General features: G+C 43.5%; 1 protein-coding gene across 31 annotated transcripts in view, besides 2 other annotated features; it reads left to right on the top strand.

Moving 5' to 3' along the window:
• ARHGAP22 (Rho GTPase activating protein 22) overlaps positions 1-14,876 on the top strand; it is a 226,435-nt gene that overhangs the window by 163,032 nt on the left and 48,527 nt on the right. For 14 of the 31 annotated variants that reach the window (NR_045675.2, NR_144646.2, NR_144645.2 and 11 more), the window contains one exon: positions 13,470-13,598. The exons of 5 other annotated variants lie outside the window; for them this stretch is intronic. Coding sequence is in view for 20 of the 26 variants with exons in the window: in XM_024448100.2 (XP_024303868.1) it covers positions 13,470-13,598 (129 nt within the window). In the remaining 6 variants the exon portion in view is untranslated. 12 more of the 31 variants (XM_011540013.4, XM_011540003.2, XM_011540015.4 and 9 more) reach the window with 3 other exon arrangements.
• Positions 13,012-13,668: an enhancer, noted in NCBI's record as "H3K4me1 hESC enhancer chr10:49687609-49688265 (GRCh37/hg19 assembly coordinates)". NCBI's record gives its function as "activates a minimal SCP1, AML or CMV promoter by ChIP-STARR-seq in primed H9 embryonic stem cells {active_cell/tissue: H9 hESC(primed)}" and the evidence as "EXISTENCE:reporter gene assay evidence [ECO:0000049][PMID:30033119]".
• Positions 13,669-14,326: an enhancer, noted in NCBI's record as "H3K4me1 hESC enhancer chr10:49686951-49687608 (GRCh37/hg19 assembly coordinates)". NCBI's record gives its function as "activates a minimal SCP1, AML or CMV promoter by ChIP-STARR-seq in primed H9 embryonic stem cells {active_cell/tissue: H9 hESC(primed)}" and the evidence as "EXISTENCE:reporter gene assay evidence [ECO:0000049][PMID:30033119]".

The raw sequence follows: 14,876 nt of genomic DNA, 5'->3' as shown, positions 1-14,876 counted from the left end.
CAGGAACCTCCAGCTGGCTCATTGCCCAGGGCTAACACCACACACACAGGCAGGTCTCAGGATGCCTGAGAGTGTGGTTGGCAAAATAATGGCCCATCAAAGGCAACATACACCGCCAGCCCCAGTCCACACTGTTCCTCACTGTAGCCACCAGCCACATGTGGCTGCTAAGCACATGAAACGTGGCTAGTCCAAATTGAGATGTGTTGTTAGTGCTAAATATACACTAGATTTTTAAGACTTTGTACAAATATATGTATAATATCTGAATAATTTTAATTGACATGTTGAAATTAATGCTACTATTGTAGATATATTGGAATAAACAAAATATTAGGTTGGTGCAAAAGTAATTGCTGTTTTTGCCATTGAAAGTAATTTATTTTTGGCTGAGTGCAGTGGCCTGTAATCCCAGCACTTTGGGAGTTGAGGTGGGCGGATCACCTGAGGTGAGGAGTTTGAGACCAGCCTGGTCAACATGATGAAACCCCATCTCTACTAAAAATACACAATTTAGCTGGGTGTGGTGGTAGGTACCCATAATCCCAGCTACTCGGGAGGCTGAGGCAGGAGAATCACTTGAACCTGGGAAGCGGAGGTTGTAGTGAGCCAGGATTGTGCCACTACACTCCAGTTGGGGCAAAAAGAGTGAAACTCCATCTTGAAAAAAAAAGAAAGTAATTTATTTTGTATATACTTTAAACATAAATACAGCTGTTCCTTTTTACTTTTTGAGTGTAGCTGCTAAAACATTTGAAGTTTCACATGTAGCTCACATTATATCTCTGTTGGATCACACTGCTCTAGACGGCTGCATCTAGACACTTGGCCTTCACCCCTGACACCCAGCTGCTAGGGCCCTCCGAGGGCTTCTGTGCTCTAGGCAGCCAGGAGAGTGACAGTGGGCCCTGTGACAAATCATACATTGCTGCTGCCACTTTTAAAAAATATTTTTTTAAAAAAAAGTTTTAAAAAATATTTTTCAATAAACCTTGGTAAAGAAGGGTTAAGTCAGATATATAATTTGATCAATTGACAACTTTTTCACCTGAACATAATGGAATAAGTCCCAGCAGCTTACAAAATGCTTTCACACATATCAGTTACCCTTTTTTCTTTTTCTTATGAAAATGTTTATATGGAAAAGTTGAAAGCCAGTTCTTGTCCTGCGACCCCTGCATTTTCGAGCCTCCCCCTCTCCCCAGGTCTCAAAAGGAAATCCTTAAGTTCAGGAGCTCAGAGGGGAGAAAGCCTGGCTGGAATCAAAAAGGGCTGGTCACCTGGGGCTGGTGCCCTTGAACAAGCCACAGGCAGAAGCAGTGAGAAAAGTGGGGTTCGGATAGGAGCCAGACTTCCCGGGGTCATAGTTCCCTGGTACATACACACACAGCTCATAGTTAGAGCTGGGGCTGTTTCTAAACATTTCTGGGCTCAGTTACCTCTCTTTAAAATGGGAATAGTGATACTGCTTCCCTCAAGATCCCACAAGTGTTCACACTACTCACGCTCATCAGTCTGTGAGTGTCATGCCCGCCTTACGCGAGGGTTTCACGTGTGCCAGTCTCCTTTGTTCTGCCGCTGCCGCCCTCACTAACCTCCTATTCATCTCAGGCTCAGTGCGTGTCCTCTCCATGCCAGGCTCTGCTGGCTGTGCTGGAGTTGCCTATAAAATAGACAGAGTCGGGGTGGGCCAACCAGAAACATTATGAATAAGCATGTCATGTAAACACATAAAATACATACAGAGTGTATTGATTGCAATCAGTGCTATGAAAAAATTCAGGCCAAGAAGGAACATGGGGTGTGGTGGGTGATGCATGGTGAGCCTTAAATAGGGTGGTCAGGAAAGATTCCCCAAGAAGGTAATATCTGAAGAAAGACCTGAAGGGGGCCAGTGCTGCAAGGACAGCTTTCTGGGCCACAGCAGGAGCAAGGGAACAGCAGGTCCAAAAACCGTGAAGCAGGAGCATGCCGGGTGTGCTTGAGAACTGGCAAAAGCAAAGGGGAGGGGAGCCAGAGATGACGTCGCAGGAGTAGGGGTGAGGGGCCTTCAGGCTCACTGCGAGGCCTTTGCCAAGAGGGGCCTGCTGGGGGATGTTGAGCAGGGGTTGGGGAGCTGGTTCAGGCCTCTACCAGGTCTCTGTGGCTGCTCAACTGAGAATAGATTGTCGGGATAAAGGAAGGAGCCTGGAGACTGTACAGCACTCTAGATGAGGAGTGGTGGTGGCCCAGACCAGGTGAGCAGTGAGAAGTGACCAGATTGCAGCTATGTTCTGAAGGAGAAGCTACTAGAATTTGCTGAGAGGAATGGATAGGAGAGGTGAGAGAGAGTGGAGCAAGGATGTGTCCGGTTTCAACTTGAGTAACCAGAAGATGGAGTTGCCCTCACCTGAGAGCAGAGGGTGTAGGCAGATGGGAGGTGAACTTCCCGCAGGTCTGGAGGTCAGGGGAGCAGTGAATCTGGATGTCTCAGCACGAGGACAGCATTTAACGCCTGAGAACGGATGGGCCCACCAGGGAGACTGGGGTCAGTGTAAAGGTGAGGGAGAGGAAGAGTCCAGGGGGCTCCCAACATCCTGCCTTGGGCACCTAGCTGTGGCCACCGAAGTGGGAACACAGGAGGAGCTAGTTTGATAGAAGCGGCACTTAGAATTCTTGGACATGCCACATTGTGCCTACGGGAAGTCACAGGATGATAGAATTGTAAGTCATTTAGACTCATAGGCAATAGAGATCTGGCTGTTCCGTATCAATGTTTCTTAACTGGGGCATTTGGGCTCCAAGGGACATTTGACAATGTATGGAGACACTGTTGGCTGTCATAGCCTGGGAGGGAGGGAGTGGGCAGAGGTCAGGGATGCTGCTGCCCATCCTGCTATGCACAGGACAGGCCTCCACACCCCATGAAAAATGATCTCACCCAACATGTCAGTAGTGCTGAGGCTGAGAAATCCCCCTCTATCCTGTACTTAAATATGATAATAAAAGGGAACACTTAGACAGTGCTTGCCAGCTGCCAGGGACTAAGCTAAGGGGCTGTCCCATTTCATTCTCCTGATGAGGTGGGTCCCTTTGGTTTCATCCCCCTACAGGTGCATGAGTCTGACAGTTGGGGAAATTAAGTCACTGTGCTCCACATTGAGGGAGCTGAGGTTTGACCCATAGACGTTGGACCCTAAGCACTGTTTAAGAGAGCCTCTGGGCCGGGCGTGGTGGCTTACACCTGTAATCCCAGCACTTTGGGAGGCCTAGGCGGGTGGATCACGAGGTCAGGAGATCCAGACCATCCTGGCTAACACGGTGAAACCCCATCTCTACTAAAAATACAAAAAATTAGCCGAGCGTGATGGCAGGTGCCTGTAGTCCCAGCTACTCGGGAGGCTGAGGTAGGAGAATGGCGTGAACCTAGGAGGCGGAGCTTGCAGTGAGCCAAGATTGCACCACTGCACTCCAGCCTGGGCTACAGTGTGAGACTCCGTCTCAAAAAAAAAAAAAAAAAAAAAGAGGCAGCCTCAGAAGTCTGTCATGTGTAATGGGATGGGGTGGAAACACAGTGGCCACACAGACAATTAAAAAAGAGGAAAAACCAGAAACTGTGATAATAGACACTCATCTTTCATAATGAATTTATTCCTGAAATATTTGCCAGTGTAATTCTTATTCATTTAAGTAAAGCTAATACTAATGTTTCCTAAGTTACAGAGAAGAAGGTCAGCATAAACCATGGAACACTGTAGAAAGTCCCCAAGTTTGTTGTAATCTTGTAATCCTCCATTTCATCTTCCTTGCACTCCCCTTTATTGCCATAAGGAAGATTTTATATTGAGAAAACAGAATGAGTTTATGGGCAAACAAACCTGTGTTTGAATTCCAACACCTCCACTTGCCTGTTCATGAGCAAAGTTCTTAACTTCTCTGAGCCTCGGTTTTTCCACCTGTCAAATGGGGTCATCAATGCTCCTTCCTAGGGTGTCTATGAAGACTGCCTGGGACTGGGCCTATTAAGCACCTTGCAGGGTGTTTCATATAGAGTAGGCCCTTAGGCATGGTAATAGGGTTTTCACTTCTGGACAAGATAAAGTAACAGGGACCTATTTACCCTCCCACCTGAAACAGCCAAAAAAAAGAAAAGAAAGAAAAAAGAAAAGCACAAAATATTTGAAACAATGCTTTCAAAATACGTTAGGGAAGGACTATGACCCCCAAGAGATGGGAAACAAGGTGATTCCCTACATGTGCCCCAGCTGACTGCCTGGAGAAAGTTTGCAGGCTGTATGCAGGAAGGGGAGACCCAGGTGGAGCCCGTTGGACTCTGTGAGTTGAAGAGACAGAGCTAAAAGTCCAGACAGACCAAAACATCTAGAGTCTGCAGGGTAGCTGCTGAGGAGGAAAGAGCTGCACAGAGAGAAAAATGCCTTGAGAATTGAGCCATGCACTCGTCACCATGTGCACATGAGGAAAACTACCCCAGGTTGGGCAAAGAACTACCAGAAAGGATCAGAGGCAACAGCACCCACGCTAATGCCAGGCAAAGCATGGCACCTGTTCCTGCCTGCAAGACCGTAAAACCTAACAGCTTGTAGGGCGTAGGACAGAATATACAGAAGGGTTTTCCCTCAGTAGTGGGAAATAATTAGCTCTGTACTGAGTACTCTGGTTCCACCTAACAAATCTTAGAGGCAACATCTGTAAGGATCAAACTCTTTCCAAGAATCTACGTTCATACCAGAAAAAGGCTGAAGAATATTTATGGAAATACAGAAACATTCATCACCCAACCATTTAAAAATCACAGTGTCTGGCAACTAATTAGAAATAACAGGAATGCAAAGAAGCAGGAAAATGTAGCCCATAATGAGGAGAAAAATAAAAAGCAATCAATTGAGACAAACCCAGAAATGACACAGATTTTAGAATTAGCAAAGACATTAAAACAGTTTTTCTAACTGTATTCTATATGATCAAAAAGTAGACACATGAAAGTTATTTTTTTAAAAAGACCTAAATTAAACTTCTAGAGATCAAACCTATTACGTATGAGATGAAAACTAATGCTGGGTGGGGTTAATGGCAGATTAGACACACTAACATGAAAAGATTTGTGAAGACATAGCAATAGCAGCTAGCTGTATTAGTTTTCTATTGCTGTTGTGACACATTGTTTACTATTTATTTATTTATTGAGACAGGATCTTGCTCTGTGGCATAGACTGGAGTGCAGTGCATGATTACAGCTCATTGCAGATTGGAACTCCTGGGCTCAGACTCCTTAGTAGCTGGAACCACAGGCTTGGTCATGCCGTGCCTGGCTAATTTTTTAAAATTATTTTTCATAGAGTTGGGGTCTTGCCATGTTGCCCAGGCTGGTCTTGAACTGGGGCTCAAGCAATCCTCCCACCTCAGCCTCCCAAAGTGCTGGGATTACAGGCGTGAGCCACTGTGCCTGGTGCCTGGCCTGTGACATGTTACCACAAACTTAGTGGCTTAAACAATGCAAATTTACCTTATGGTTCTGTAGGTCAGAAGCCTGACACAGGTTTCACTGGGCTTAAATCAAGGTGTCAGTAGGCCTGAATTCCGTTATGGAGGGTCTGAGGGCGAGTCCATTTTTCTTGAGCTTTCCAGTTTCTAGAGGTTGCCTGCATTCATCAGCTCCTGGCTCCCTTCCTCCACCTTCAAGACTAAAAATGACAGATCAGGTTCTTCTCACATTTTATCCCTTCTGCTGTAGACACATCTCTCTCTTACACTCCTCTTCTGTCTTCCCCTCCACTTTTAAATACCCTTATGATTACCTTGAGCCCACTTGGATAATCTAGGATAATCTTCCTAGTTTAAAGCAGCCAGCTGATTAGCAACTTTAATTCCATCTGCAACCTTAATTCTTCACTGTGTAACCTAACCTAATCACAGGTTCCAGGGACAGGCATGTGGATGTCTTTGGGGGGCTGTTATTCTGCTACCACACTGTACAAAGATAAAACACACAGAGAAAAAAAATTTAACAAAAACAGAGCATCAGCGAGCTGCAGGATAACCTTAAGTTGTGTAATATACATGTAACTGGAATCTCAAGCAGGGACAGGGGATGGAAACACGTATTTGAAGTACCAATCGCCAAAATATTCCAAATGTTATGAAAACTATAAGCTCACAAATCTAAGAAGTTCAGTGAGTTCCAAGTATAGGAAACCTGAATAAAATTGCACTGAGGCACGTCATAATCAAATTACCCATAACTAGTGAAACAGTAAAAAAGACACAAAACATCAAAAAATGAGGATGATGGCAAAATTCTCATGAGAAACAATGCAAGTAGAGCAACATCTTAACAGTTGTGAAAGAAAAACATTTCCAACCTTGAAGACTTTATCCAGTGAGAATATCTTTCAAAAATGAAGATGAATTAATGATTCCCACACTCAATAGCTGAAAGAATTCATCACCAATAGCTGCATACTCCAAGAAATGTTAGAGGAAGACCTCCAGGCAGCAGTAAAATAATACCATATGGGAATCTGAATCTACACAACAGAATGAAAAGCACTGTGGTAACTACATGGGTAAATATATGCTTTTCTCTTATAATTTAAATATTTTCAAAAGATGTTAAGATTTAAAGTAAAAATAACATGGGAGGTCAAAACGGGTGGATCATCTGAGGTCAGGAGTTCGAGAACAGCCTGGCCAACGTGGTGAAACCCCGTCTCTACTAAAAATACAAAAATTAACCTGGCGTGGTGTGCGTGCCTGTAATCCCAGCTACTCAAGAGGCTGAGACGGGAGAATTGCTTGAACCCAGGAGGCAGAGGAGGTTGCGGTGAGCCGAGATTGCACCACTCCACTCCAGCCTGGGTGACAGAGCAAGACCCTGTCTCAAAATAATAATAATAATAATAAAATAATAAAATAAAAATAGCAACAATATATTATGAGATGTATAACAAAGTATACCAGTAAAAGGTAAGATAAACATTGCAAAAAAGGTCAGGAAAGAAGACATGGAAGTATAATCTTGTAAGATCTTTATATCATACATGAAGGGGTATAATATCACTTAATGTAGACTGTGATAAGTTAAAGATGTATACCATAAACCCTAAAGCAATTCCTACAGCATGAAGAGAGTGAGATTTTTACTAATAAGCCAACAAAGCAGATAGAATGAAGTCATTAAAAACAAAAAACAAAAACTCCATCCAAAACAAGACAAGAAAAGAGAAAAAGGACAGATAGAAAACAGAAGCCAGACTTAAATCTAAGCATCCCAATAATCACATTATAAATAAAGCTTATCAGATTGGATAAAAAGCAGGACCCAACTATATGCCTGATAAAAAATGCACTTAAAATGTAAAGACACAAATAAGTTAAAAGGATGGAAAAAGATAACATCATACTGACACTAATCAAAAGAAAACTGGATGGCTATATTTATATCAAGGATTTCAGACCAGAGTAAAAAATATGACTAGGGATAAATAAGGTCATTTCATAATGATAAAGAGGTCAGTTCTTCAAGAGGACATAACAGTCCTAAATATTTATGCTCCATAACAGCTTCAAACTACCTGAAGCAAAAACTGATAGAAATACAAGGAGAAAATAGACAAATCTAAAATTATAATTGGAGATTTGAATAGCCTTCTCTCAATAATTGATAGAAGAAGTAGACAGAAAAATCAGTATGGATATTGAAGATTTGAACAAAACTTTCAACTAGACCAAATTGACATTTATAGGACACTCCACCCAACCACAGCAGAATAATTTTTCTCAGTGCACTTAGCAAGTTCACTGAGCAAGATATACCATATTCTGGTACAATCCCCCCAAATTCGGAAACTAACGCACTTCTAAATAACCCATAAATTAAAGAAGAAATCCAAAGGGAAACTAGAAGGTATTTTGAACTGAATTAAAATGAAAACACAACGTATTGAAATCTGGGAGCTGCCTCTAAAGTAGTAGTTCAGGGACAATTATAGCACTGAACTCTGGAAGAAACTAGAAAAAGACCAAATTAAACCCAAGGTAAGCAGAAGAAAAAAAAATAAAGATCAGAGTGGAAATCAATGAACTATGACCCAAGTCGGCAACCTACAACCTGCAGGCTGGCTGTTTGTTTTTGTAAATGAAGTTTACACAGATACAGTCATGACCCTTCGTTAACATATTGTCTTTGGCTGCATTTGCACTATAGTGGCAGAGTAAAGTAGTTGTGACAGAGACTATATGGCCTAAAAACCTAAAATGTTTGCCATCTAGTCCTTTAAAAACAAGTTTGCTAACCACAAAAACAAAAAAGTCAATGAAGCAAAAGGCTGATTTGTTGAGATCAATAAAATTGGTAATCCTCCAGCAAGGCTGATTGAAGGAGAAAAGGAAAAAGACAGAAATTACCAATATCAGGGTGAGAGAGGTAATATCAGTACAGCTTCTTCAGATAGTAAAAGGATAATAAAGGAACATTATGGACAACTTTATGCCAATTCATTCAATAACTTAGATGAAACTGACAAATTCTTTGAAAGACACAAACTAGTAAAGTTTACTCAAGAAGAAATAGATGTATATATTAAAGAAATTGTATTTGTTATTACAAACATTTCCACAAAGTAAACTCCAGGCCTAGATGGCTGCATTGGTGAATTATATCAAATATTTAAGGAAGGAATAATAGCAATTATCTACAAACTTCTAGGTTTGAAAACAAGGGAATATTTAATAGCTTATTCTGTGAGGCCACCAAAACCAGACCAAGACACTGTAAGTAAAGGAAACTGCAGGCCAATATCCCTCATGAAGATACATAAAATATTTTTAACAAAATTTTAGCAAATCAAAACAACAATATATAAAAGGGATAGTACATCATTACCAAGCGGGATTTCTCCCAGGAATGCAAGATTGGTTTAGCATTTGAAAATGTATTAGCGTAATTCATCAATTAACACACTAAAAAGATATACTGTCATTACAATAGATGCAGAAAAGACATTTGACAAAATCTAACATCCATTCCCAATAAAAACGTGGCTCAGCAGCCAACCAATTTTCCACACAGGTGCCAAGAACATACACTGGGGAAAGGACACCCTCCTCAATAAGTGATGCTGGAAAACTGGATATCCATATGCAGAAGACTGAGACTAGACCCCATCTCTCACATTTCTCTGTACAGAAATCAACTACAAATGTATTAAAGACTTACACATAAAACATGAAAGTATGAAACTACTGGAAGAAAACATAGAGGGAAAGACTCCAGGATGTTGGTCTAGTCAAAGACTTTATGGCTAAGGCTTCTAAAGCACAGGCAACAAAAACAAAAATAGCTAAGTGGGACTATATTAAACTAAAAAATCTTCTGCACAGCAAAGGAAACAATCGGCAGAGTGAAGAGACAACCCGTTGAATAGGAGAAAAATATTTGCAAACTGTTCATCTGACAAGAAACGAATATCCAGAATATACAAGGAACTCAGCTGGCAAAACAACCCATTAAAAAGTGGGCAAAGGATCCTATAGACATTCCACAAAAGAAGACATACAAATGGTGAAGAGGTATATGAAAAAAATGCAGAGAAATGCAAGTCAAAACCACAATGAGATATCATCTTACCCTAGTTTGAATGCCTATTATAAAAAACACAAAAAAAATAGACACTGGAGAAGATACTGAAAAAAGAAAACTCTTATACATTGTTGGTGGGAATGTAAATTAACACAGTCATTATGGAAAACAGTATGGAGATTTCTCAAAAAACCTAAAAGTAAAACCACCATGTGATCCAGCAATTCCACTGCTGGTATTTATCCAAAGGAAAGGAAATCAGTATATCAAAGGAATTAACCCATTTATGCCGGAGGTTGCAAATTTTTGGGGGAAAAATCAGACCTTGGCAGTGACCTTGAGCAGTAGGATATGCATAACTCCCACAAGCTTAGCATTCCAATAATGGAACACTTGGCATAAATACGTTAATGTACCCCAATGTTTATTGCAGCACTATTCACAATAGCAAAGATATGGAATCAACCTACGTGTCCATCAGTGGATGAATGGATAAAGAAACTGTGGTATATATACAAAATGTTATACTATTCGGCCATAGAAAAGGAATGAAATCGTGTCATTTGCAGCAATGAATGGAACCAGCATATTAAGTGAAATAAGCTAGGCATAGAAAAACAAATATTGCATGTTCTCACTTATATGTAGGAGCTGAAAAGAAGTTTGTCTCATGGAGGTAGAGATTAGAATGATGGTTACCAGAGGCTGAGAAGAGTCAAGCAGAGAGGGGGATGAAGAGAGGTTGGTTAATGGGTACACACATAGAGTTAGAATAAATTCTAATGTTCCATAGCAGGGTAGAGTAACAATAGTTAACAACAATGTATTGCATATTTCAAAATAACTAGAAGAGAGGACTTGAAATGTTCCCAACACATAGGAATAATAAACACTTGAAGTGATGGACACCCCAAATTCCTAGAGTTGATTATTACACACTCTATGCATGTAACAAAACATCACATGTACTCCATAAATATGTACAAATATTATGTATCAATAAAAAAAACCTCTCAGCAAATTAGAAATAGAAAAGAACTTTCTCAACCTGATTAAGGACATCTTCAAACAGCCTATAGCAGATAGACTTAATGGTGAAAAGCCGAATGCTTTTGTCATAAGATACAGGAAAAAGCAAGAATGTCTGCTCTCACCACTTCTATTCAACATGGTATTTGAGGCTCTGGTCAGTGTCATTAGAAGAAGAAAGAAAGAAACGATTCCCAGCTGGAAAGGAAGAAGTAAACTGTCTCTATTTGCAGATAGCACGATTGCACATGGAGGTTCACTGGTGTCTGTAGAGAAATGATAGACTTTTCACCAAGTGGGGCTGGAATGTGCATATGCAAAAGAATGAACTTCAATTACACCTTCTCCCATATACAAAAAGTAACTCATAGACCTACATGTAAATCCTAAAACTGTGAAACTTTTGAAAGAAAACCTAGAAGAAAACTTTTATGGCCTTAGATGAAGTAAAGATTTCTTAGATACAATGCAGGAAGCACACTCAATAAACGAAAAAAATGATTAATTGGACTTTGCAAAATTAAAAACTTCTGCTCTTGGAAATACACTGTTAATAGAATGAAAAAAGAGAGAGACATGGACTGGGAGAAATATTTGCAAAGCAAATATCTGGTAAAGGCCTTATATCCAGAATATGTCAAGAACTCTCAACACCAATAATGGAAAATAAATAATCTATTTTAAAAATAGGCAAAAGATTTGAACAGATATTTCACCAAAAACGACACACAGATAGCAACTAAATACATAAAAGATGTCCAATATCATCAGTCATTTGGGAAATGCAAATTCAAACACCTGCACACCTATTCGGATGGCTAAAAGTAAAAAGTCTGAGCATAGCTAGTGTTGGTGTGTATGTGGGGGTCCCAGAACTGTCATACACAGCTGGCGGGAAAGTAAAATGGAGTAGTCACTTTGCAGAACAGTGTGTGGCCATTTCCTTAACAGTTATGCATATATAAAAATATATATAAATACTTAAAAAGTTAGACAGGCTGAGAGCACGTTGGGGCAGGACCCAGGACAGGGGCACAGCTCTGGGCAGGGCAGATCCAAGTTTTGTGGGGCCTGAAGCTTGTGTGACTTGGGTGGCCCTCTTCAGGGAAAATAATTTTCAAATGAGAAATTCAAGATTAGGTACAAAAGTGAATATTTAGGACAAACCAAGTAACCACAAATTCCTGGAGCTGTGGATCTCCAGGTTCCTTTTTTTTTTCCAAGTCATCTTGAGATATTTTTCTAGGAATGCTGACATAGAAAAGCTTCCTGGTGACATCTGGCTTCCTCTCCCTATCTCGCACACTCAGCCATTCCAGCCTTCGTAGCCCAAATGCTGTGCAGCACTGCTGTCCCCAAGGCAGAGCTGCTTCCAGGTGGCAACCTCGGTAGGTGGCAATGCCCACAGTCCTGTGAGTGACCACACCAGCCAACCGAGCAGCCTCTGGGGTTGGGCTCCACTGTCTCAGCCTCCAGCTTCCTTCCTACCGACCTCCACAGCTCTGCTGCCCAGCGGCTGCCTGAGCCCCGGCGAGCAGGGCTTATCTGCGTAGTGAAGGGCTCCAGAGGTTATCACAGAGCCCTGGCTGCTCCTCACCCTCCTGAGCGTTGGGCCCCACGGCCTCTCCCCCTGCCTCCCCACGGGCCCGCTGTGGTGCCCTCAGCCAGGACACAGCCCCACCCTCTGCCTCAGCCCTCAGAGCAGCCTGCTTGGTTTCCCCAGTTCTTGGCGGAGAGATGGCAGGAGGGAGAGTGGGATGGCTGAGAGCCCAGAGTCGGGACTTGAATCTCTGGCTGTGCCACTCATTCGCTGTGTGCATTCAACAGGTTACTTAATTCCTCTGTGCTTCAGTTTTCTCATCTGTAAAATGTGGTTGGAAATAGTACCTTCCTCATGGAGTCACTGTGGAGGATAAAGAACCCCAGGAGGGCATGTGTGTGGCAGCTGTGCTTACCAGAAGTGTCCCAGGCACGTACCAGGTGCTCAGTAAGCGCTGGTCCTGTCTGCTCTCCATCCCTGGGTCACAGGCTCCAGCAAAGCGTGGCTTGGGCCCACCCACCCCATGGGAACACAGGTCTGTGGATCTCACACCCTACTGGCAGATAGTCCAGGGATGTCGGGGGGTAGGATGTATAAAGACAAACTCATTCTTGAAAACCCTAAAATTACCTGTGAAGTTCAGTATAAATAGTTTTTTGTATTTCCCAAAGATCAATTTGCTTACACATGAAAACTTGAGAACCAAAGAGGGGAAAGTCAGTTCACAAGCAACTGTCTGAGTTTTCCGATCCTTCTGCCTTTAGGTGCCGATCCACTGTCTAGCCGTGAGATGGGTGTGGTGGAGAATTCTGGGGTGCTGTGCTGCATCCTGGTTTAACATCCAGCCTCTGTGACCTTAATATATACGGAGACTCTTGTCTTCAGGATGGGGAAGGGAGGCCCTAATCTCCGAGCCAAAGTTAAAAGCACATAGTGACGTTTAACTGTGTTCTTAAAATGGGCAAAATTGATTTGAAACAAAGCATAAAGTGAGGCCACCCTGGGGCACTGAAAGTCTCTGAGCTGGCCTAACATCTGCATGCTTTATTTTCTAATAGTGTCCTGGAGTGCATTAAATTATTTCTATTTTGGCATGGGAAAATAGCAAAGTGAGACGAAGGGAAAAAAGAGAAAATGGGAAAAGACTCCAAAGAAAGAGATATGAGTTGTGAAAGGGATGGACTGTGAGATAAAAGCAAAGCTCAGCTGTTGCTGGAAGGACTTTGGGAATATCCCACAGGGAGTAATGCTGACTAGTGCCGGCGGTGGAGAGTGTGCTGCGGGCAGGGACCCTGCGTAAGCCTGTGTCTCCCTGTCTTGCAGGTGGTGCCGGGGAGCGGGAGAAGGTGCCGGCCAACCCCGAGGCGCTCCTGCTCATGGCCAGCTCCCAGCGTGACATGGAGGACTGGGTGCAGGCCATCCGCCGAGTCATCTGGGCCCCGCTGGGCGGAGGTACTGCCCGTAGATCGCATGCCCACCCTCTAGAACCCTTGCCTCCAGGTAATCATGCCCCCTGCCTGTCCTGAGCCCCAAAGACCCTGCTCACTGAGGACTTGCTGGCTGCATCCTGTGCTTCTCACAGCAGGCTGGCCCTTCCACTGCCAGCCCTCGGGAGTCACCCAACGGCTGCCGTGTACTCACTTCCTCCTTTATTGAAAACTGTGTATTAGACATCTAAATGTACTGGATTCTATTCCAGGGGTGAGGAATTCATGAGGATAGGCCACACCTCCGCCTTCCCTCATCTCCATTCTCTGTGGGAGGGATGGTAGACAAGGACATGTGTCTCGTGGTGTCCAGGGGTGAGACATGTCACAAAGCCATTGAAGCTCAGTGAGAGGACGGCGGGGGTGTGGTTAGGTGGAGTGGCCAAGCAGGCTTAATGCAGCAACGGGGAGCCAGGGGCATGCTGGGGAAGAGCATTCCAGCAGAGACATGGACACGTGCGAAGGCCCCGAGGTAGGGACGAGCTTTGGGAACACGAGGCATGTCAGGAAGGCCGGGGCCCCGAGGGAGTGAAGACCAGGCGAGTGGGAGGGCCTGAGGTAAGAGTGGTCACCAAGGCCTTGGGGTCCTGGTGGGGATTTTTTATTTTGTTCTGTATACAGTGGGATACCAGGAGAGCTCAGAGCAGGAGACACACAGGACCTGAGTCAGATTTATGTAAAAGGTGCCCTGGCCACCACATGAGGAGTGGACCATAGAGGGACAGCAGTAGACACAGCAGGCCAGGAGAGTCCATGGGGTGGGCATGCAGCTGATGGTGCAAAGTGGCCAGCTGCAGGTGTATCCTTAAGGTGGAGCTGCCAGGTTTTGCCTATGGTCTGGACATGGGGTATGAGAGAAATGAAAGGTGACTCCCAGCCGTGCAGTCGCTATCTCTAGGTCGGTGTCCATATGAAGTGGTCATGAAAAGATCTTTCATAATGGGATCACCATGGCATTGGGGCCAGGGCCACCGACTCCCTGCTGAATGTGGAGACTGGGAGTCTGAAAGCTGGCTGGGCTCTGACCACACAAGCTATGGACGTCCTCTTTCTCCCTATGGTGTTTGATCAGCACACAGTCTGGGCAGGGACTCACCTTTTGGGGCTCTGGGCCAGTCTCCAGATTTCACAAGCCACATGGGCTGAGCCCCTTCCTTTGCTCCTCTGTTTGCCCACTCTCCTCTCCCACCCCTGGCTATGGTCTACCTGACCACCTTTCATTGAATGATAAATCCCTCACAAG

The sequence above is a fragment of the Homo sapiens genome, chromosome 10 (assembly GCF_000001405.40).
Source record: "Homo sapiens chromosome 10, GRCh38.p14 Primary Assembly".
Classification (NCBI taxonomy): Eukaryota; Metazoa; Chordata; class Mammalia; order Primates; family Hominidae; genus Homo; species Homo sapiens.
Note: the sequence above shows the minus strand (reverse complement) of the source record. Positions and strands in the feature narration are given on the sequence as shown.